Consider the following 22,385-nt stretch of genomic DNA (forward strand, 5'->3'; position numbering starts at 1 on the left):
CATTGGTAACTTGAGTATACACAAATCAGTGATTTGTGGAACATTTTCTATTGCCAGAATATCTGGATTGTCACCTCCCCTCTCACCTCCACTCAACTTCTCTGAAGGGGCTAAATGCTGTTTGAAAATCCAATCCAGTGTGTATTTATTTACTTAACAAGATGATCTTAAACAGACATCACCACCTCTTTAGGGTTCCTATTCTCTTAATTGAAGATCCTGATCTTCATCAGACATTAACTTTAGAGCTGATGTAACTATTTTCAGATATAGCTTCTTAAAATTAGTTAATTGGGAATCACAGTCTTTGACATTAACGGAACAAATTCACTGAATCCGAGTGTGTTTTTCCTGGCAATAATGAACTCTGGCATTATTTCACTCATTTGTCTTCTTCCCTTTCCTTGGACTAAGCTATTTTGCAATAGTCAAAAGGGGATAAGGGTGGGAGGAAGGGTCTCCAACCAAGCAAGAAGAAACTTTTTTTTTTAACCTCATCACTCAATATTCAAGTACTTTTTTTGACCACCCTTGTTCACCAAGTATGATGGTTTCTCTTTAAAAAGACAAAACTGAATCATTCGAAAGGATTTGGGTTTTACTCCAGCTCATCAAAATGACATAAACACAATATGGAAACCAAGAAATGCTCCCTTGAAGGAGTCTCTGGTGAGCCCCTTAGTGAAGCTGATGTCCCACCCTGCAAGGGCAGTCCCAGAGTAGCATCAAGATTATTCCAGAGTGTCTCACTCATGCCCATCCCATGACTTAGGTGGCTTCCTTGACTTATGTGGCACACTTTAAGAGTTTCATTGTAATCCCACATTTTCAGTAATTTATTACAAATCGACCATGCCAAAAGATTTATTAATCCTTCTACATAGGCAATCAATGCATGCATATTCTTTTCTTTACAAAGACAAAAGCCATTTAATCCTCCTTATAATTTAGTTTAATTCTGTTTCAAATGTTTGACCTTGATGGCCTGCAGTGCTCTATCTCTTTTATGTATTTTACATATTGTTATAACTGACAATTAATATAAAGTCCCTTTCACTTAGGGATACGATCTCCTTGTTTCGGTTTTGTAGCCAGTCCCCCAAATTTTGCATGAGGACAAATTCACGATTCTTATGAGTGTGTCTTTGAATCCCTTACGTCAAGGTTTGGTGCCATGAAGGATGAAGCTGCTGAGCCCTGAAGTCGTGGGCTAAGGGTACACGGACAATTAAGCAACTTAAGTGACTAGCCTGTGTCTGATTCCCCTGCAGTCATGTACTGAAAACCTCCTGACTTACTGTCTTTTCAACAGCCCTCTAAAAGTCTGACTTCTTTTAGCAGCTGAATGTCATTTGGACAAATGAGGAACTCATCTTGTGACCTCTGATGTCAGCCAGGAGCTTTCTATTTTTCTCACCATCCTCCCCCTTTAAAAAACAAATACATAAATTTATCATTGGGCATTGTGATTTTTCATGGAACAGTTTTTATTTTTAGCAACTGGCTTTCAAAGCAAGGAAAGATGTTTTTTTAAGCATAATTACTAAGAATAGAAACAACTTTGAGGTGTTCTTTTTGATTCTTAATATTTAAGGTGTCTCATGACATTTGAAGTCTCTAAATGTCATTAATCATTTGTTGCAGGTTTAATATGAGTTGTCATGATGCTTAATATACTTTAATGAAAATAGAATTTTGGCCACATGCTGTTCATTAAAGAAAATATCCAATTTAATATAAGTCCCTCAATTAAAAATCCCATCAAAAGCCTTGTTCCAATTTCACCATGATTCTGGCTATAACACAATTATTTCATTGGAGTGAATCAATGGTTAATGTCAAAGTTTTTAATTCTTCAAGTCTTGGTTTCAATCTGGTTTAAGTGAAAGTAAAATTAGTTTGGTGGTTTCCTTCTTGAGTCTTGCAAACTTGAGTCTACCTTACACAAACATCTCCATCCTGCCACGGTTCGGATGACTGGCAGTCTGTTTAGGCGAGGCCCAGAAACAGAAAGCAAGTCTTGTGAAAGTCAGAATCTGGGAGCTTTGCAGATGCGTCAAGGTAGCCTTCAGATTGCCTCTCTGTTTTCAATGTGTCCCCTATCTCACTCTTCCAAACATCCTATGCTGTAAGAGGGTAAAAGGAAAAGGAAAATAAGAAAGGATCTACATAAGGCAAAGTACAAGTAACATAAATGCAGACAGCAGCAGTAAATATAACAATATGCTGCTGTTAGCCCAGTGGTAACTGGCATTAAGCTAACCAAACACAACTGCTTCCACATCCCATGACAAATAATAGCAAATAGCTCTGTCATTGTTCTCTTTGGGGCTCTAAATTGTTGAAGCTTCAGCCATTGCAGGGAAAGCCTTCCTGAGTTTCAGGGGACCAAGCCCTGCCCTGAGTTTCACCTGACTGATAGAGGAAAACAGCCAAGACAGGAGTCTGGCAGAGAAGCCACTGGCCAGTGAAAAATGCACAGTAGAGGATTATTATTCTTCCTGCAACCAGTCAGTAGCAAATTGTCACCAGTTGGAATCTGCTGAATATTCCTATATACAAGTTAATGTTAGCTCAAAGAAAGGGGGGTTTAAAAAAAAAAGTTTTGCCCAGTGTAAGCAGATACAGATTTGTAGATGACACACAAGCTAGTACTTCTATTTCATCACTGCACTTCGTTGTTTCCCTCACTTGTAAGAAAAGAATGATTTTTACAGGGAAACCTTCACATTCAGACAGTTCTTGTTATTTCTTGTTTTAACGACGTCAACGATTCATGGCATGACATTGCTCATAGCTCTTTCACCTCTAAATTTTATCCAAGCAACAAATTAGAAGAAAGGACTGCTGGGGAACTTCTTCCTTCTTTCTGTGAAAGATCAGAAGCAATTTTTTTTTTTTTTTTTTTGAGGCGGAGTCTCTATCACCCAGGCTGGAGTGCAGTGGCGTGGTCTCGGCTCACTGCAACCCCTGCCTCCTGGCTTCAAGCGATTCTCCTGCCTCAGCCTCCTGAGTAGCTGGGATTACAGGCGTGCACCACCACATCCAGCTAATTTTTGTATTTTGAGTAGAGATAGGGTTTCACCATGTTGCCCAGGTTGGTCTCAAACTCCTGACCTCAGGTGATCCACCCACCACAGCCTCCCAGAGTGCTGGGATTACAGCCATGAGCCACCACACCAGGCCTAGAAGCAAAATTTAAATAACGTTTACTAGAGTTGCTTTAGCCAATAAGAGCCAGGAAATTAAAAATGAAAATGTAAATGCTTCATCTTTCACTCAGAAACATGCCTTAAATGCCTACCTCCAGCAATGTAAGAAAAACATTGAGGATTTAGCTGAGAGTTTGATGGCTTTTGCTTGCCTGTCATAACTTCATTGCTGCTCAAAGGGAGAATTTTAAAACACTCGACATTGAAATCCTTTAGCTTACCATTGCCAATGTATTGTAAGTGTTGTCGGGGGGAACCCCTGAATCTAAACATATATTTACACCCTTAAGTTGCCAAATTAAATCCATCTGGCTTACCAAATGCTGTCGCCAAAAGACTGTTACACTGTTGGTGTGGCCAGTATTTTAAATGTGGGGGATGGGAGGGCAGTGTTGAAAGGCACTAGATTTGATGATAGAATTTACATGTGCATTGATGCCACATTAAGTATTTACATCAAGTTTAGATCCCATGGCAACTCTGACCAAGAAAGAATTCCTACACAAGGCAAGAAGTCTAAAGCCGCTAGGTATTTGCGCCGTCTCCTCATGGCACTTTTTGCCCTGTGACTGCTTTTCAGGCATCACAGCCACGCAATAGGCAAAACCACAAATAGCAAACACTCTAATTTCTTGAATTATTTTTTAACTATTCCCATAAGCACTAGGAAATGCCCACTCCTGTTTTCTGGTCGAAGTTATCAGCTCATGTGAATCATAGAAAGAATAAATTCTACCCAAGGACCTGAAAATATGTTAAGTCAAAATGGCAAGTAGCAAAATTCGCAGTCACTCATAATCCATAGCAAGGTAGGGTCTTCCTAACTTCAGTTGCTTAGAGACATGTAAAATTCCAAATGTTCATAAAATCAACTTTTTCTCCTATTGGGAATTAATTTAAACATTAGAAAACAGGAAAAGGTATAAGCACTCTTCTTAAATGTGCAAGTTGATATGAAATTTAGAAATAAGCCCCATTCCTTCCCTGCTTCTTTGGTAGAAGGGCTAATGGACTAACTAAGAGAGAGAATAAGCTAAAAGTCTGGATAGCCACAACTAAATACACCACCACAGGAGAATCCCTCAGCTTCTATGGTAATTTTGAAACTAAGAGAAAATAAGACAGCATGAGAAGGCATTATGCTGCTTTAAATATGACTTGGGAATGGTCTTATTTTACAATCAAATATACCACTTGCTTCCATCATGTAAATATTACCAGTATTTAGTTTCAGATTTTCATGAGGTAACATTATCTAAATTTACTGTTCGTCTGTATATTTAAATATATAACATTCATTTGCAGTATTTCATTTATCTCAAAAGATTAGTATATATCTCATCTAGAATGAGACCTCTTATGAGAATAGGAGATGAGAAAGACTTTTAAAGGCATTTCGCAGTCCAGAGAGTCTGCAATGAAATTATTCCACTCAGGAATGGGTATTTATGTAAGATACATTCTGTACCATGTGTATTTTTTTAAGTTTATATTAGCATTATTCTCAAAGCCAATTTTAAGAGTGAATGAAATTGTTCCCTTAAGTAAATCTACCCTTAAGTAGTATCATGCTCAAGGGCCTACACCAGAAAGTCTGCCCCACTGCTCTCGCTATAATACCATTCACTGAGGAAAAGCTGTAAGAACTGAGGAAAATGTCTACTTACTTCTTAAAACAACGAGAATTGCTTTTTGCTTCTCAGTAGTGTTGGAAACTATTTTAATAACTAAAATAATAAAACTTCATGTGAGGCAAATTCCACCTTAATTATTGCCCTTTGGGGTGGAAAAATTAAGGAAACATTAGTAAATGTGTTAAACAGAAAAACCACTGCAGTAATTTCCCGCCAAATACCTGGGTCTAAAGTCAAAATAAAATCTGTGCTCTGCGTATGATTTGTATGAAAGCAGACTTATAGTTTTAGCTCTAACAATAGTACCACTTAGGACTAAGATGAATGGACCAGAAAAACCCCTGTGACTCATCAGTAGACTGTGATTAGCTTACTTAAGTGTTCTACAGTTCAGTTCGGGAATCTTTAATGAAGGATATTGATATAATTGCTTGATTCATTTTAATATTTCAAACACTCTAAATTACTCCATCACTATCTTAATAATTAATGCATGAAAACTCATACTTACATTGAAAATTCATTTTAAAGCACAATATCTTTGAATAAACCCATTGAAATAGTGTTTCTGGTGTTTGCTTAAAACTTTGGTGTATAACTGATTACATCTTATAGATTTCATTTTTTTTTTCCTGGTATTTTCCTCTTCTAACTTAGGACCTTTTTGCCATATGTGGCTATTTGATGTATATTGTTCAGTCACGATCTTCTAGGTGACTGAAAAACGCATGGAGTTACTCATGCCAATAATTATTGCTACTGAATTGTTCCAAAGTCTCCCTTCCTGCAGAAAAATAAGTTTCAGTAAAATATTCTAGAGGATTACAAGTTATCTTTGCAGTTCATAAATACTTTCATAGGCTCCATTGATATTCACAGTTTTCAGTTAGAATGTTATTTTTATTGCAAAGTTTGCATTTATATTTCTTTTCTGTGGATTGCTTACCACTTATTAAAATTAAAATGCATTTTAAGGTGAAACATTATGTACCTAGAATACTGAAGGTAGCACTGACCATTGTCTTTAGCTCAGAAAGCAATGTTGAATTGGAAAAGCAAGATTTGAGAATATTCCTCTTTACTGCATTGTCATTGCACTCTAGTCCTTCTGATTTCCCTTGTTTCTCAGATGATCCCTACGCCCAATTATACAGAACAGTCTTCCTCTAGTTACTTATATCAAACACTTGCCTGCTAGCTGTGTTTGGCAGGCCAGCAGGATGAGGTAATAATCAGAAGAAAATGTTCTGGTTTATTGGCCTCATCCACGTACAACATTATTCAAAATAGTTCTCTGTGGGTGAGAACAGAGTTGCTTTGAGATCCCCTGGTCTAATGTTCTGTAGTAGTGAGGAGGAACAAAACTGTAAACTTTTTTGATCTCTTCTAGAATAATGGTAAGGTAAATGATATCTGCTTGGCCCATCCTTTCAGTAATGTTTACAGGCAGTTAGATGTATGTGAAAATGAGAGCCTTTCATTTATAAACATTTTGGCTTTACTCTTTCCAAGTCCAGCCATCTTCTTACGTACAGCCTCCATGGTCAGTACAGCAGTGTTTTCCTAAAAGCATATTTTGTGAACAATTTCTCCAGGATGATGGTAGTTTTTGTAAGACAGATGCCTAAAAGACATATGGTTTTCATAGATTTTCCGTCTAGACTAGCTTTATTTAGTGACTTTTGGTCTGAATTGGTCTAGTTAAAGTTTCTGTAGGAGCTTGTATAAAAATTTAAAATGTGGGTGTACCATTAAGGTGTAAAACAAAAGTTTGACTTCTTGTTGGCAAGAGATTAAAACGGATTGGTTGAAAATTTCCTTCATGTTAAGTAATTCTGATCATCTTATATGCCTACTCATCCATTCCACCCCTACAACACTGTCCAAAATGGAAAGGCTTACCCTAAAAATCCCATAACTGTTAAATTCATATACTCCTCACTGTTCCTGAGTAAATTCTTTGTGTTCCAGTTTATGTGTGTATGTTAGAAAGCCCTAATTCTTTCTGCAGACTCTTTACATGGCCCAGGGGACATATTATTCTTTACCCTTTTAGCACCAATTTTTACAAACACAGCATTTCTCTCATTTAAAAAAAGCGTCTGACAAGCCGCTGAGTAGAAGCGACTGAACCTTTAGGAGTTTCATAGTGCCTTCAACCAACAATGAAAATTCTGTTTTTCAAGGCGTTTCAAATTCTTGAGCCAGTGTCAAAGACTCATTTAGAAACAATATGACATGTTCAGAGGAAAAGAATTACATCTAGTCTTGCCCAGAAATCATCCTTTTGCTCCCTCTTTTGTAAGAGCTAATACTGCAGACCAGTCCCATCTTAACTGCATCAGAAAGAGGAGGCTCGTGGAAGGGAGGAAATGTGGGCCGTTCTGTCTCCACGAGTGTCATTGCTTGGCTTCCTTGGCTTCTCACGAAGCATTTAATTGGACTTAGTCACATATTTGTTCACTGACATGGCAGCCTGCAAAGCACAATGCCTCTCTGTTTTTCTCTGTTTGCTTTAAAAAATTTTGTTTTTAAAATTTGAGCTCTAAAGCATGTTAGAGCTCCTCCTGCTGGATTTAAAAAAAAATAACTGGGACGATTAATAAATGGTAATTCTTTTTCTTCATATTTACCACCTGGGCTAATAGAAGTGACAGAAGCCTATCATGTGGTGCACTTAAAACTGACCTTTTAATTCATCAGGTATGAAGGTCAGGCAGAAAGAAAATGTTGGTGCTACACAACTCATCTCTCAGTCTTCAAATTCCTCATGCTCTTTTTTTTTGCTGTTGTTAAAAAAAAAAAAAGGAAAAGGAAAGGTTATTTTTCTGTGAGTATTTCTAGTTACATAGTTACCCCAAGTCACATCCCCATGCTTGAAAGGTTCTTGCTCCCTCTCAGAAAGGGACAAAAAGTCTTTTCTATCTTCCCAAAGCAGAAATGAATTGTGCAGTCATACAGAGATTCGAAGTGTTGCCTTTTTCCTCCCTATCCTTTCTTCTTTTTCCTTCTTCCTCCTGATTTCCTCCTCCTTCTCAGAAGCGGACACTTGCCTCGCCCAGTAGCTAGTTCTCAGCACCTCCTTTCTGCCTCCTCCTTCCCCTAAATGGTGGCAGTTGGCCTCTCCCTCTCCTGGTGCCTGAAGTGGGAGTGACGAGAAGGGTCAGAAAAAGGTTTACCCCATTCACCATCAGTGGGAGTAGGTTTCTACAGCACATAAGTTTCTGGAGGTCTCTTTAGGAATAAGAGAGAAAGGAGGGGGGATAGAAGGGAGATAGGAAGAAAGGAGGGAAGGAGGGAAGGGGCAGGAAAGGAGGGAAGGAGGGAAGGGGCAGGACAGGAGAAAAGGAGGAAAGGAAGGAGCAAAGGAAAAAAAATCACTTGTAAATCTCTGTAAAACCACTTCCTTTCTCTGCATGCTTTCTCACACTGTATCCCTCTTGCCTTCTGCTTCTCTGCGTTTCTTTTAGCTCTTTCCTCCCCCAAGTTTATAATCTCAATGATATAGTACAAAGGCCAAAATACTTAAAAGTTAATCTCGGAAAGTAATGCTTTTTAGAAATCATATTTTAATACAACTAAAAATCCTTCATGTTACCTGTTTCATGACTTTATTAGGACTTGGGACAAAACAAGTCATTTGGTATTTGTGATAAAGAATAAGACAACCCTTGATTTCTCAAACTTCAGTACTTTCTGGCTTTCTTTCCTTTGCACATACCTTTCCTATTCCTGGAATGCTAGTCCCCTTAACTTTCCGTACTTTCTGGAAGTCCTTCCAACCTCCTAGCCTCCTTCCAACTCTAAGCTAGGACTCCAGATGTTTCTGAAACTCCTGAAGCAAAAATTTTAGCATAATCCTACTGTGGTCATAGTTAACTTGTCTCTCTCCATCTCAACAAGAAACTTCTTCAGGGCAGTGACTCTTTATTTCTGTATCTCTACCTCTTAACACAGTACCTAGTACATAAGTAGGGCTTACTGAGGGGATGAAGGAATATAAAATGAATTGACTTGCAAGCCTCAATCAAAATTTATTTTGAAACTAGCCCGATACTTATTTTAAAAACCAACTTAAACACACTTTCTTGTTCTATTCTATTGAAAAGCTTGCCTGAGTGAATGTTGTAAAATTCTTTTTACAGATCATAAACTGAGGAGAGTTAATGTGGGTAAATCATCCTTTAAGCTGCTTTTTTGCCACAACCACAGAAGTGGGTATATTAGGCACCATGCCTATGGGTGAAATCCAAGTCAGATATGTAGGACAATGTAAAGAAAGTGTGACAAAGCAGATTATATTACCATTTATGTCACAGGCTAATTTATACAGGATATTACCTGTTTGTATCATCAAAAAATTGTGAACTATTTTTCTCCCTATGTTCTGATTTCAAATTCCATGAATTGATTCATATTTTCCCAATGACATACATTATAAAATCATGGGTTCATTTTCACAGGGGAAAGAAATGCTGGCTCTAATACACTGCAAGAATCATATTAGAGAATTCCTTAAATCCTTTAAGTGGGCTCCAAGTTCTGTGTTCTTTCCAGCATCTACTGTAAACTATTCTTGGATAGTATTGGCTCATTCTGTTGCTACAGCCAAAAATTCCAAAAATATGCTGAATAGCACCCTATAGTATTTCTTACAGTAAATTATAAAATATTATCTTCCATGTGGACAAAATCATGACTGTTATAGCATTTTTCTGACTTTAAATAAATGCCCAAAATAAGAAGTAGAGTGCAAATACATCGCTGAAATTTAAAATACAGTGTCCCAAAATTTGTTCTCTTAGAGCAGACATTCACAAGAAGAAGTAGGGGTCCTGCATCACAGCTGCCTTCCATTTTACCTAGAAGTGTGCTCCAACCCGATTTATCTTTGGGCCCATTCACACTCATTGATCTACCGCTTGGGACACTGCCCTCAGCAGGTGCTGTGGAAAGCTGCAAGAGGCGTAGGAGTAATCTTGGTTCATAGAAGGTTTTGAATGTTGTTCAGATGATAAGATATGCATGCACGCCTCAAACTTCAAAAAAAATGATGCAAGCATTAAATGATTCAAGAGGGTCATTGAGAAGTAAAGCATTTCAATTCCTGAAAACATAGAAAATGGTTTTTGTAGATAAAACCCTTCATTTTTTATCATAAATAAGTTTAAAAAGGGTGGGCAAGTTGATATCAGATTCTAGTGGCCCTTGGAAACCTGGGATGTATAACTCTCTCATGATCCTAGATGTATGTAAACTAAATTTTGAGACAGTTATATTTTAAACTTTCAATTATAATTTACAAGTAAATCTTGCAATGTAAAAGAAGCTACTGCATATCCTTTTTATGCAAATAACTACCCTTTTAAGCAGATATCTTCTCTAAAAATGTCAGTCTTTGTATATCTTTTTGAAGGCTTTCTTTTAATTTGGGTCCACCTAACTACTTATGCTGGACTTCAATCCTACCCTCTCCAAAGATTAGAATTTGGAATGCACAGAGATGCTTACCTATTTATTTTCATAAGCAAATACAAGCTTCCCTAAGCAAGTAGTAGTTATTCTTCTGATAATGACTAACAACAACGACAACAAACACTGTAGTCCAGTATCTTGGTCTTTATAACATAAGGCTAAAACTGCTTTCACCCATGCTTAAGTCTAATTCCTAAAGGTATCAAAGTGTTTCTACAAGCATTTCTTCATCCTTCTTAAGATTTCCAGCACTTTCTCTTTTTGTTTTTACTTTATCTGGCAAGTAAATTGAATTGCTAATAAAGCAAAGTAAAAATCTTTTTTTTACTGAACAGTGGTTTCAAAGCATAGTCCCAGGACCAGCAGCATCTGGGAACTTATTAGAAATATCCCACCACATTAGAAATGTTGGGTGGCACCCAGCAACCTGTGTTTTAACAAGGCTTCCAGGGAACTCTGATGCAAGGTCCAATTTGAGAACCATTGCCAAGAGCATATCAATCTAACTGCCCAATAGAAAAAATTCTGCACTGAAAGTCATGAGACCTTAGTGCAAGCACAGGAAAGGAAGAAGACTGAACTACATAGGCCCATTCTGGCTTAAAAATTTACCAGTCAGATAATTCCTACTTCCCATCCTATGGAGAAATAAGGGCAGGGACAGAAAGGCCAATCCATTTCACAAATCAGTATTATGCTAGCTGGAAGCAAGAAGCTAGAGGAAAGGTGGTTTTCACACCCACCCCACAAACTGATACACCAAAGCAGTTTGCCCTTATTGAGGTCTCCCTTAACTCCTGTTAAAATGGGCCTCATATCATGAACACTCAGGACCAGCTAATCCAAAGAAGAGCAGATGAAATTTTAGTTCTTCTGTTCTTAAAAGACAATAAAATAAGGCAAGAAAACAATGATGCATTCTTCTCTCTTATCGGTAAAGCCAGTTTCTCCCCCACAATGCCACCCACCCTGCATGAGCATTTGACTTTCTTACAAAATTTGTCATTGTCCACAATACTGCAAACAGTCCATCCCTGCAGCTACAAATACAACTTCAAGTATTACTTCTTCCCCTTTGATTTGAAAGAAGAAACATGGCTCTTCTATGTAACCATAAACCGCCCACATACAACACAGTGTTTCAATAAACACTAAGTGATACAAGATGCTCCATTTCAATATAATGCCTTACTTAACGAAGCTCATTACTAAACAAAGCAACTGAGGAAAATTTGGTACAAAACAATAACTTTGCTTTCCCCAAAACAAACTGTCTTGTGAGGTGAATGCCTTTGGAAACTCTTTGAATGGTTAGGAACTGGACCAATGAAATGAACTTTAACAGTAAACTTTAAATGTTTTCTGGTGTTGAAGTTAGCAAACATCTTTAGCATTGCATATTAAGAAAATTCACCCTAAATTGCTTTCTAGTACAGTTGTATATACAGATTTTTGTTGTTACTGTTTTAGAAAAAATAAATAAAATGTTTATTTCTTCTGCAAGGTTTAGTGAGGAGCTCTTTAGGATTTTTAATGACTAAGTACATATTTGGGTTCCTTTAACTGCAACTAGGCATATTTCCAAGATATCATAGTTACTTTGAGAGAACATGAACATTTTATCTTTTATTATTTTAATTATTAATTCACCATCTAGCTATGCAGTGCCTATTAAATGCATGTCCCTAGGGACATCCTTAAAGAGCTCATAATGAATAAGTTATCCTGATTGACTGATTTATTTGGAAAAAAATACAATACTATGAACCACAGGCCATGCTAAGTTATGGGATATGGTAGTGAATAAGACTAACAATAGACCTGGCACATAGCAGAACCATATGTTCTCCTCATCTCCTGTCTTGACTTCTTTCTGCAATTGCCTGCTACTATTGTGCTCTTGTCCCAGCCACATGGTCCAAGGATTAAAGCAGATATTAATGAGAATTTACTGTGCCATAAGAGTACTTAAGTCTTTCTATTCTCTATCCACACCATTGAATTTTTCCCTTCAATCGCCATCATTTAAGTTCCAATTTCACTCATTATAGACCTACATTCCTACTTCCAAGTTTTATATGCAGCAGTTACAATCATGTTTGCCATCACTTTGACCACATTATTGTATTTTCAGACTTCCCAGAGTGTATTCTCAGACTCCGAATTACAAAATTTTGCCCCACTTTTCCACTTAAAATGAAGTACTATAATAAAGCTACTTTCATATTTGTTTTATTCCACTCATCTTCCATTCTGAATAGATGCTGAGCTCTTTAAAGTCATGTAGCATGAAGCAGTCCACATATTAGATGCTCAATAAATAATCTATGCAATATATAACTGGAAGTCTTGACATAGATCATCTAGTCTGATTGTACAATTTGGCAACTGGAGCTAGAATCCACATTTTCTAACTTCTGATCCAGGACTCTTTCTATGTAAACATAGTATCTCAAATATAAGCTTCTGATAAATGCCTTAAAAGTGTAGCATCCTTGGCCTCGCTAGACCTACTCACCTTGATCTAGCCTAAACTCTAGCCTGGCTAAATATCTTGTTTAGGCACTTTTCAGTCATTTCTTCATTTGTCCATTATTCAACAAATACTTAACCACTGCTTTCTAATCACATTGTACCAAATGCTGAATACACATAATAAATGCAAAATATGTGGTTTCTTTTCTCAAGGAATTTTGAATCTATTTGGGGGACACTGGTAATAATCTAGTAAATAAATACATAATCACAAGTAGGGTTACGTGCTACGAGAGACACAAACATGAAGTCATAGGGGAAGGCAGAGGAAGTCAGGAAAACTATGGGATGGTCCAGAAGGACTGAGGAATAACAGTTAAGCCAAGAACAAAAGGATCAAGAGAAGTCAGTTTCATTCCTTTCTCTCTTGGCTACAAGCCTTGATCCAAGCTATCACATATTCATGAAACGATTTCCAATCCATCATGCCATGCTGTATCCTACTTCTCACTGAATTTGTAGTCTAAAATCAACTTTTTATTTAATGAAATCACCTAATTAATTCCATTATCAAAACTTCTGGTAGAATTTCCCTCCTTAAAGCTCAAATTCTGGCCAGTTCTCTCCTCCCACCAGCCAACTGGTTAATTGCTAAGAATACATTTCCATAGGTTACATGATTATTTGACAAACTCCCTGAGGGCAGGGGGCTTATTATTTGGTATTTATTCCAAATATCTACTAAAGAACTGAGCAGTTAGATACTTTAGAGTCACCAAGGATCTCAATCCTACATGTCACTTTAGCTACTTTTTTTTTTTTGCCATGGCCATGATTTACTCACAAATATCCTTGTATTTATAAGACCAATGAATATCACAAGCATTCATTAGTTATTTCTTGATTCTAGGAGGAACTTTCATTCATTCAGTTATCAAACATTCAGTGACTGAATGACAAGCAGTGAGCTAGATACCACAGTTACATGAAGATGATTAAGAGACAGCTCATTTCTCATCAGTGAAGATAACATATAAGCCTAATTAGAGTTCAGTGTGATGACTAATAATAGAGATTTGTTGAGATGCTATACAAACAACTGTATCAGGAGAGGGGAAGGCAGGTCAGGGAAGGCTTCACTGAAGTAAGTCTTAAATGATTAGTTAGTAGTCTCAGAAGATGACCAAAATGACATTGAGAATGTAATTGCATGTAACACCATGCTAAACACTGTATGAAACAAGTTAAGTGGGTGTGACCTGCGCCCTTCAGAAACTTCCTATCAAAGAAGAAAATTATGCAGATTCAAGATTCAGGACATAAGTTAAACATATATGGCCATTTTAAATGAAAATAAGGCTGGGTACCATGGCTCACACCTGTAATTCCAGTGCTTTGTACCTCCCCAAAGAAAGATTTCCTTTGAAGCCTCTTACACATTTTTCAAGTGCATGAGGTAAAAGGAATTCTACTAATATCTATGAGTTTGTGCCTAAATAGTTAATATTTTCACCATTAATCAACAATATCTCTCCTGCTTTGATTTTTCCTTGATCGTGTAATTTAATTTTATAGTTCCATGATTTTTCAACAACTATTTTTTTCAAAACTATTTTTCAAAACTATTTTTCATAATAGTTTTCTTAAATTTTTCTAACTTCACTTCTTCATACCTGAGAAAGGACATTCAATTTGATCAATATAGAGTTTCTAATACAGAAGAAAAATTTATGACTATAATTCCAGAAGGAGTCTTTCTGAAAAAATCAGTTGCAGAGTTTTATCAAAAAGAAACATTTCAATTTGTAGACTTTGTCAAATTTGGGGGGGTAAAAAAATGACTACCCAAGATACCATATATGAAGTCAAGTACACAAATACACTAAAAAAACTTATTAATATATTTAGGAAATAAATGTAGAAGCTTGAGGAATAAATAAGTAATAAATAATATTACTTGGTAATGTTGAGACTCTCAAATACAGTAATATTTCATTATCTAAAGTACGTTTGCTTAGTAAACTCAGCTACCAGAAACATCATTACCAACTAGAAAGTGAGTAATACTACTAATACCAATACTAAAGTCTTTAAGACCCAAAATAGGAACTAGAGCTCCTGCAATTTAAACAGGCACTCAACACTGAGCCTATTTACACTTGCTACAGAGAACTCTAAAGACTTGCTTTTCTGATTTTTAGTGCTCTGTAAATTACAAGCATAATATAGAACAAATTGGAGAAAGTCAAAAAGGCAATGAGAAGTGATAATAATATCCTGAAAGAAAAAGGAAAATTATATGTGAGAAATAAAAATTCAAAAGCCATCATTGTCTGAAACAGTATACCTTATTAGTTCCTGAGTTCATTCTATGTAATTATTATATTCTATTGGCTAAGATATGTGCAGTACGTTTCAGATGGCTTTCAAATAGTTTCATATTTCTTATTAGTATTGGAAGGAATGACTTCAGTTTTGAGAAAGATTTGCATATGAAAAAAGACGTAATTTTCATTAAAACTACTAGATAAATGAAAGGTGACAATGTTAAAATCATTACAGATCATAACCACTTCTGCTGGCCTGTATGTGCATGAGCATGTGTGTAATGGCTCTTTCTCAGTGTCCTTGGAACAATGTTCTGCTAGATATTCTACTTGTTTCTTTACCTTTCTCTTTTTCTCTTTCTAGCCGGAGACCACCCCCATCACCAACTCGTCCCACTATAATCCGCCCACTAGAATCCTCCCTGTTAGACTAAACGAAGTGTCTGGCATGGCAATTAATCACTAATGAATTATGCGAAAGCAACATATTTGATAACCGTTGCAGTAAATCATGAGTAGTCGCATGTGTGGACATCAGTAGGCAAGTAACCAGTTTTACTAATGCATTCATCGCTCATCTTCATTGCTCATGGTATGTCAAACCTTTGGGGTTTGACTCAGAAACTGCTAACCTTTTAGAGGCTTTATATGTTGTACTGACCAAGGTAGGTTTGTATAGCAGCCCTATACTTTGGGGATCATTTGCCTACCATGGCATATATTTGAAATTGCTTTGGACAAGTTTTCTAGGCTATCTACCAGGTAGCTCATTAAACGTAATTCTTCAGATATGAGATAGTGGGCTTAGACCTAAGCCATACATATTTCTTTTCCCACATTCTGTTTAGGATGACAGTAATTCTGTTGTCTACCATTAATGCTACTACCTACTCCATAATTGCCTATTTAGCTCCTCTTTTCTTCCTTTTTATTTCATAAGACTGCTAGGAAGTGATTTTTTAAAATTAGGACTCCTTAAGAATAAACTTTTCCAGAAGCACGAGGTAGTTTGCAAAGGAAAAGTCTGCACTGTTTGCTCTAAAGAGCTTCTCCTCATTCCAATGTGTTTTGCTTCATGCTAGAAGCATATGCAACAGTGAATAAAAGCTTCTTTTTTTGTTAATCAGTCAATAAATTTGGCTAATTAGTTTCAGAGTTCAAGGAAGAAGCAAAATATCACATCTCTAGAAGTGTTGGGAAAAATATAATTTCTTTCTTTACTTATATTCACCTCATGGTAGGTTATATTGAAGGCTGACATGGAGAATGTTTACTTTTCTATTTGGCATAGCTAACTACACTTTGATACTAACTCCAGTTTTACTATTATTATTTTGGTTGGAAAAAAAATTCACTCTTTACGTGCTAATTTGTAATCTTGTTTTGTAAGAATTTATCCTACCCTTGAAACAGGCTCAGTGTAACTGTATATCCATTCTAGGCTTTCTTAATAAATCTTGAGGCTATGGGATAATCACATTTAAAGAATGGTTCCTGAAATGAAGTCAGTAGAAATGGCATGGGATAAGAGCAGAGCTCACACTTTTACAGTTGCAGTATTTCAAAGTCCCTATCCAGGTCACTCCAGAAAAGGGTATTGAAACGTTGAAATCTAAAGCAAATTTGCAATTTCTTAAGATTTCTAAAATTTACCAGAACAGTTTAGCCTGGGGGTTAATAGTTAAGTCTTGAGGCTAAGTTTTGGACTACCAAGGACCAGATGATTCACATGTAGGAAACAGCCAGAAGCCAACTGGAATTTTGTGTGCTAACTGTTCCCAGACAGCAGAGCAAGTATTCACTGAGTAGGGGTGTCCCATGACACTATTTCATATTCTACAGAAGTAAATCAGGTTTCACCAACTGAAATGTCTCCCTTTGAAAGTAGCAAACATGATTTGTATGTTAACTTAACTTTAATTTCCTGTGTAGTTTACACCCAGAGCAGATACTCATAAAGTATAAAGTAAAAACTTTTAACCATTATTAAACAGAGAACTTGCCATGTTGAGTGCCATTGTATTGAACTTATTCTAAAGGCTTATGCTAACCCATTTATAATTGGTAAAAATCAGAAAATACAAGATTTACATAAAGGTCATTTCAACTTTTAAGGTTACCAGTGATTGTATAAAAACATCACAATCCTAAATCCTCTCGTATCTCACCCCAAACCCCAAACTGGGGGAAAAAAAGTTAACTCTTTGTGAATGGAACCAATGTGCAAGATACATACTGCATTTTTAAAATAGTGTCTCAGCTAAATGGAAAACTGTTAAGCAAACATCCATAGTAAAACAAATAATCTTCAGTGAGATCTTTTTATAAAACTTCTTGTTTTTAGGATTCCCTTTGCTTCTTCCTTTGAATTCTCTAAAATAGGCAGCTAACGGATTATATACTTCAGGGTTTGGCTTTGTGCTAAATGTGGTTTTGTGTTTTGCTGTATTTCAAAATTTTCCTTCTGTTAAAGGAAAATATTGTGAATAACCACTGGTGTGTTCTTAGATCAGCACAAACCATGTCAAAAAAAATTGGAGATTTTTTTCCAATTTTCCTTCCACTGATCTTAGGCAGTAATAAACAATGGCATTTGTCATCTTTGGCACTTGCTTTTAGATTATAGTCCCACAGTTGCACTGCCCCAATTGTCTACCTTTGTGGGTACATTTTTGTTCTTTACTCCTAAGTTATTTCTCATAGAACCCAGCCTACTCTAGAATTTCAGCAGTGACATTGGAGAATATTTTTAATTTGCTGCAGTACTATGTCATATTATTAGTATGAATCTCATTTCCCAAAGGGTTTGTATTCTGCTAAAAGGAGATGCCAATGTTGAATGAAGTCTGAAACTCTAGTATGTGCATAGTTTGACGTGCAGCATGCACACCAGGCCTTAAGATGGGAATGTAGCTTAATGATTTTCTGTTTCCCATACCATTTCTAATCTTTTGTGTAATTTTCTCTTAACTGATTGCTCTGATATTGTAAACACAATAGATGTAGCTCTATCATGTCTAGCATAATTTAAAAAATCAGTGTTTTTAGGATTTGGGAAAATAAACTGTAAATGTTTATTTGATAGGTAAATATAGTTTTATTGTCACATGCTAAATATTGCATGCATATTGACTAATTGGAATAACCATTTACTCAATTATGGACAGCTTATTGAAATAGTATTGATTTAGAAAAAGTATATTGCATTTCTAAAAAACATCTACCAAGGTTACTCGTCTGAATATTGCTTTTAGCCGTGTTTTATAACATAGACGAGCAGTAGGGTCTGTTTATTAGCAAATTTCCTATTTGTTCCAATACAAACTCACTTTATTCTAAAGTATATTAATGAAACCAGTTCCTGTGATGTAACTGTAAGCCTTCTCGACTTAGACTTAAAAAGTGGTCACATAGATTAATTTTGTGACTTTTTAGTATAGACTGTAGCCATAATTCTCAAATATGAAATGGGACCTAATACCAGTATGTGATAAATGTTGATGTTTTCTGTGTACAAACACATTTTCTATGCATGTGTCTCTGTGTATATGGCATATACCTAGTAAGTATGTTTCTGTAAGTATGTGTATTTTATGTCCATTTGAGTAGGTAGGTAGGTTTTAAAAATACTAGTTAAAATGCCACAAGCATGAGTGTGATTGTATGTGCACTGTGTGTATATATATAAATATATGTATATGTATGGTTGTAAATATCTATGTATACATGTACTTAGTATGTGTGGTATCAGGATATTTTTTAAACTGTGATAATACAACAGATAGCTTTGAATGATCTGCCATAACATGTGGTAACAATAGTTCATTTCTCATAACATATATGAGGTATACAAAATTTTCTAACTCCAGATTGTAGTCATTTTGAGAGGTACAAAGCTCATAATTACCATGACAACATGGTAATGTCCATAGACATTTGTATCTGAATCCACAAGAAGATCTGAATCTAAGAAGGAATTACCTTTGACAATATTTTTCGGTAAGAAGTAAAACCTCTGGAGACCTATCTTTAAGATCTCTAATTGGAATTATAAATTATTTTTGGATTGCTGAGCTGAATCTTAAAAAGCCAAGTTGATATACATAGTCATTTTTCCTCTATGGTAGAAGTAAAAAAAAAAAAAAAGGACATAGCAACATTAAAGTAGTGGATTTTTCTGAGTAAATTTGCTGAAAATATAAGAGAGAAGCTATCTAATACCTTGGAGGTAGGTCATCCACTTTTTCAGGTAAACATTTTTCATTTGGCAAATGGCATAATTATTTGAAAGTGACAGGAATCTCCTCAGAATGAAGAATAAAGCCTACTAGGTCTCTAACTGTTGAACTCATGAAAGAAGATAGTGTATGAGACTTAAGCCATGAGTTTTGTATCATTTCAATTAGAAGACTACTAGCTGTGAGCTCAGAGTTTAATGTAAATGAATCTAGATGATTTTGAAGAAATGATTATTCGTTCACCAGATCACTCATTGTACATTCTAAAAAGCTCAAATGAGTCTTCTAGATACTCTTACTCATCCTGTCTGGTTGCTATGTTTAAAATTATGTGGTGCTGTGTAGGTGAAACTTTAAGAATATTTTTGAAGCATATGTAATATATGCACTGCTATTTGTGTGTGTGTGTGTGTCTTTGTATATATGTAAGAATGTGTGTATGTGTGAGAGCAAGAGAGAGGAAACTCAAAGAGGAGTGTTTGTCTTAAGACCTGTTCATACTGGTATATTGGTGAGACTTCTCACTTCTGGTTGGAGGTTTCACATATGGCTCAACTCAAGTCATTAATCTCTTTTTAATTTTTACTCTTGAATTCCTTAAACTTCGCTCATTATGAAATGTTTTAAAATTATGACAAAAATTACTCTGTCTAACCACTTGCCTTGTCTGCTACCAGTTTGTTAAAAATTATTCCCCCCAACCAGTAATTCCACCAGTACTACTTGATTTGTGTTATATTTCCTATGTACATGTACAGCCTTTGTTTTGCTTGCTTGTCTATTTTTACTTTCCCTTTTTTGGGTCAAATTTTTCTTTTGCTTTGTTTGAAGAAGGAATATACAGAAGTAAAATCTTGTCTTCTCTGCTGATTCTTTAATTAATATGAGCCGGATACTTTCCACTGTCTTCTTGGCACTTTCAGGATTTCTTAATGCTGATATATGGACTCTTAGAATGGAATTTTTGAAGAAAAATCTCAAAGCCTGTATCGTTCTTGAAGGTCACATGTACCTATTGTGAAAATGTGAAGCTGTATTTCTGAAGCTGAAATAAATTATAACATTTGAAGGACCCCTTTTCCTCATTCTTGTATATATTTGAGTCATGTCTATGCCTTTCAGTAATACCTGAGACTTCTAAATATTTATAGCTCTTTTGATTAAATTGTCCCAGAGTTACCAAAGTAAAGAATGATAGCATTTTCCATTTCTGTCATTAATTTGGAGAAAGATGGGATTTTTAAAGGGAACAAATTGGATAAATCAAAGGCAGGAGAGTGGGAGACATTGTGTTTCTGATTTGATGTCATTATTGGAATCGATTGACGAACACAAACCTTAGCAGGAGGGTATGATGTGACAGTTACCAAGAAGCACCATGACAGTTTGCTGTTGAAAATGAAGCATTTATTTTAGAAATTCTGGGAAGTGGAAGGAGGAAAGATGGTGTGCCCAAATGTTAGGTCCACAGAAGGCATTTCTTATAGCAAATATTTTAGCTCCTGACCCAACAATTAGCCTCTGTTATTTGTTCACTGGGCATAGACAGGACAATTTGCCCCTTTCAGTTTCCCCAGTTTTTTGTTTGTTTGTTTGTTTTTGAGACGGAGTTTCGCTCTTGCCCAGGCTGAAGTGCAGTGGCACTATCTCGGCTCACTGCAAGCTCCGCCTCCCGGGTTCACGCCATTCTCCTGCCTCAGCCTCCTGAGGAACTGGGACTACAGGCGCCCGCCACCACGCCCGGCTAATTTTTTTTGTAATTTAGTAGAGACGGGGTTTCACCATGTTAGCCAGGATGGTCTCGATCTCTTGACCTCGTGATCTGCCCGCCTCGGCTTCCCAAAGTGCTGGGATTACAGGTGTGAGCCACCGCACCCGGCCCAGTTTCCCCAGTTTTAAGAGAATGTATTCAGAAAATGAAAGAATGACACAACTTTGTCCTAATTTTGAGTTTCCAGAGAATAGAGGAAGACTCTCTATTACAAGAGTTTTGATGACAAGTCCCTTATCAATTGACATATTCCCAGATTGTGCCATCTAAATGCAGAAGACAAGAAGGTGATAGGAGGAGAGAGATGTTGATTTATTTTCTTTCTGCGATCAGGGCATGCTCATTGTGAAAAGATGAACTGGACAGATTGTTGTGTGAATTTACTCTTTCCTGTGGGATTTCTTTTTCATATCTATACATTTTCCATGAGTGGAACATCTGTACCTTCAAAGGAAGCTTCTTACTGGAAGAAAGATTCTGGATGCGAATCATGCTGTATACCTGTGTTCTGTTTGTTTGTTTTGTTTTAACTGCATGATTTTGAAGTATGTTAATCATATATTCAGAATAGTTTCTAAAGGTAATTTCCAAAAACAAAGAAACTTATTGTAACTATTTGGCAATTTTCCATTGGTGTTTTAAATAGCTCTGGCATTGGTGTAAACATATGCTCAATCTGTTTCCAAGATTTTTGTTTTTCTGATGGGACCTTTAAATTTCATATTGAGAAACGTGTTTAGTATTTGGTTTAGAGTGACCTCAAACTTTGCTTCCAAGCACTTCAACACACACCTGGCATAGCCACTTTTCAGACCTGTTACTAGTATTATTTTATATTATGGCAGCCTAATAATTAGAATACATACAAGAGATATTGGCTAAAACTACAACCTTAATTCAAAATTTCTCAAAGTGCATTCCATGAAATCTTAATAAGTTTTACATACACATACACCAATGGTTTTTTGGCCAAATATGCTTGAGAAATAATGACTAAAAATCAAATGTTTCTTTATTGAAAGACTTCACAGAAACCTTAAAATCAGACTGCATTGTGAATCTCCAAGAGATGAGTAATGTCTACATATTTCTCAGACTTATTTGACCATAGAACATCTCACAGATCTAGTGTCCTGAGGCACATGCCTTAGGAAACTGCTTCAGTGGCTTTAAGCCAAAGGAAAAGACATTGAGTGTGATTTCCTCAGTACAGACTCTCACTAACAAAAAGTTGGATGATAAAATCAAATGTA

The 22,385-nt window shown here is 36.2% G+C and overlaps 1 protein-coding gene and 1 long non-coding RNA gene across 18 annotated transcripts in view; one reads left to right on the top strand and one right to left on the bottom strand.

The window, feature by feature from the left end:
- Positions 1-22,385, top strand: part of DNM3 (dynamin 3) — a 576,969-nt gene that overhangs the window by 550,787 nt on the left and 3,797 nt on the right. For 9 of the 16 annotated variants that reach the window (NR_146559.2, XM_017000976.2, XM_017000977.2 and 6 more), the window contains one exon: positions 15,488-20,433. The exons of 4 other annotated variants lie outside the window; for them this stretch is intronic. Coding sequence is in view for 11 of the 12 variants with exons in the window: in XM_017000976.2 (XP_016856465.1) it covers positions 15,488-15,557 (70 nt within the window). In the remaining variant the exon portion in view is untranslated. Of the gene's footprint in view, positions 1-1,164; positions 20,434-22,385 lie in introns of those variants that run through there. 3 more of the 16 variants (XM_017000985.2, XM_017000986.2, XM_017000982.3) reach the window with 2 other exon arrangements.
- LOC102724528 (uncharacterized) overlaps positions 1,467-22,385 on the bottom strand; it is a 29,606-nt gene continuing 8,687 nt past the window's right edge. For both annotated transcript variants that reach the window (XR_001738294.3, XR_922284.4), the window contains 2 exons: positions 7,535-7,632; positions 1,467-2,126 (listed from right to left, as the gene is read on the bottom strand). This is a non-coding gene — a long non-coding RNA (uncharacterized LOC102724528). The remainder of the gene's footprint in view (positions 2,127-7,534; positions 7,633-22,385) is intronic.

Source organism: Homo sapiens, chromosome 1 (assembly GCF_000001405.40).
Source record: "Homo sapiens chromosome 1, GRCh38.p14 Primary Assembly".
NCBI lineage: Eukaryota > Metazoa > Chordata > Mammalia > Primates > Hominidae > Homo > Homo sapiens.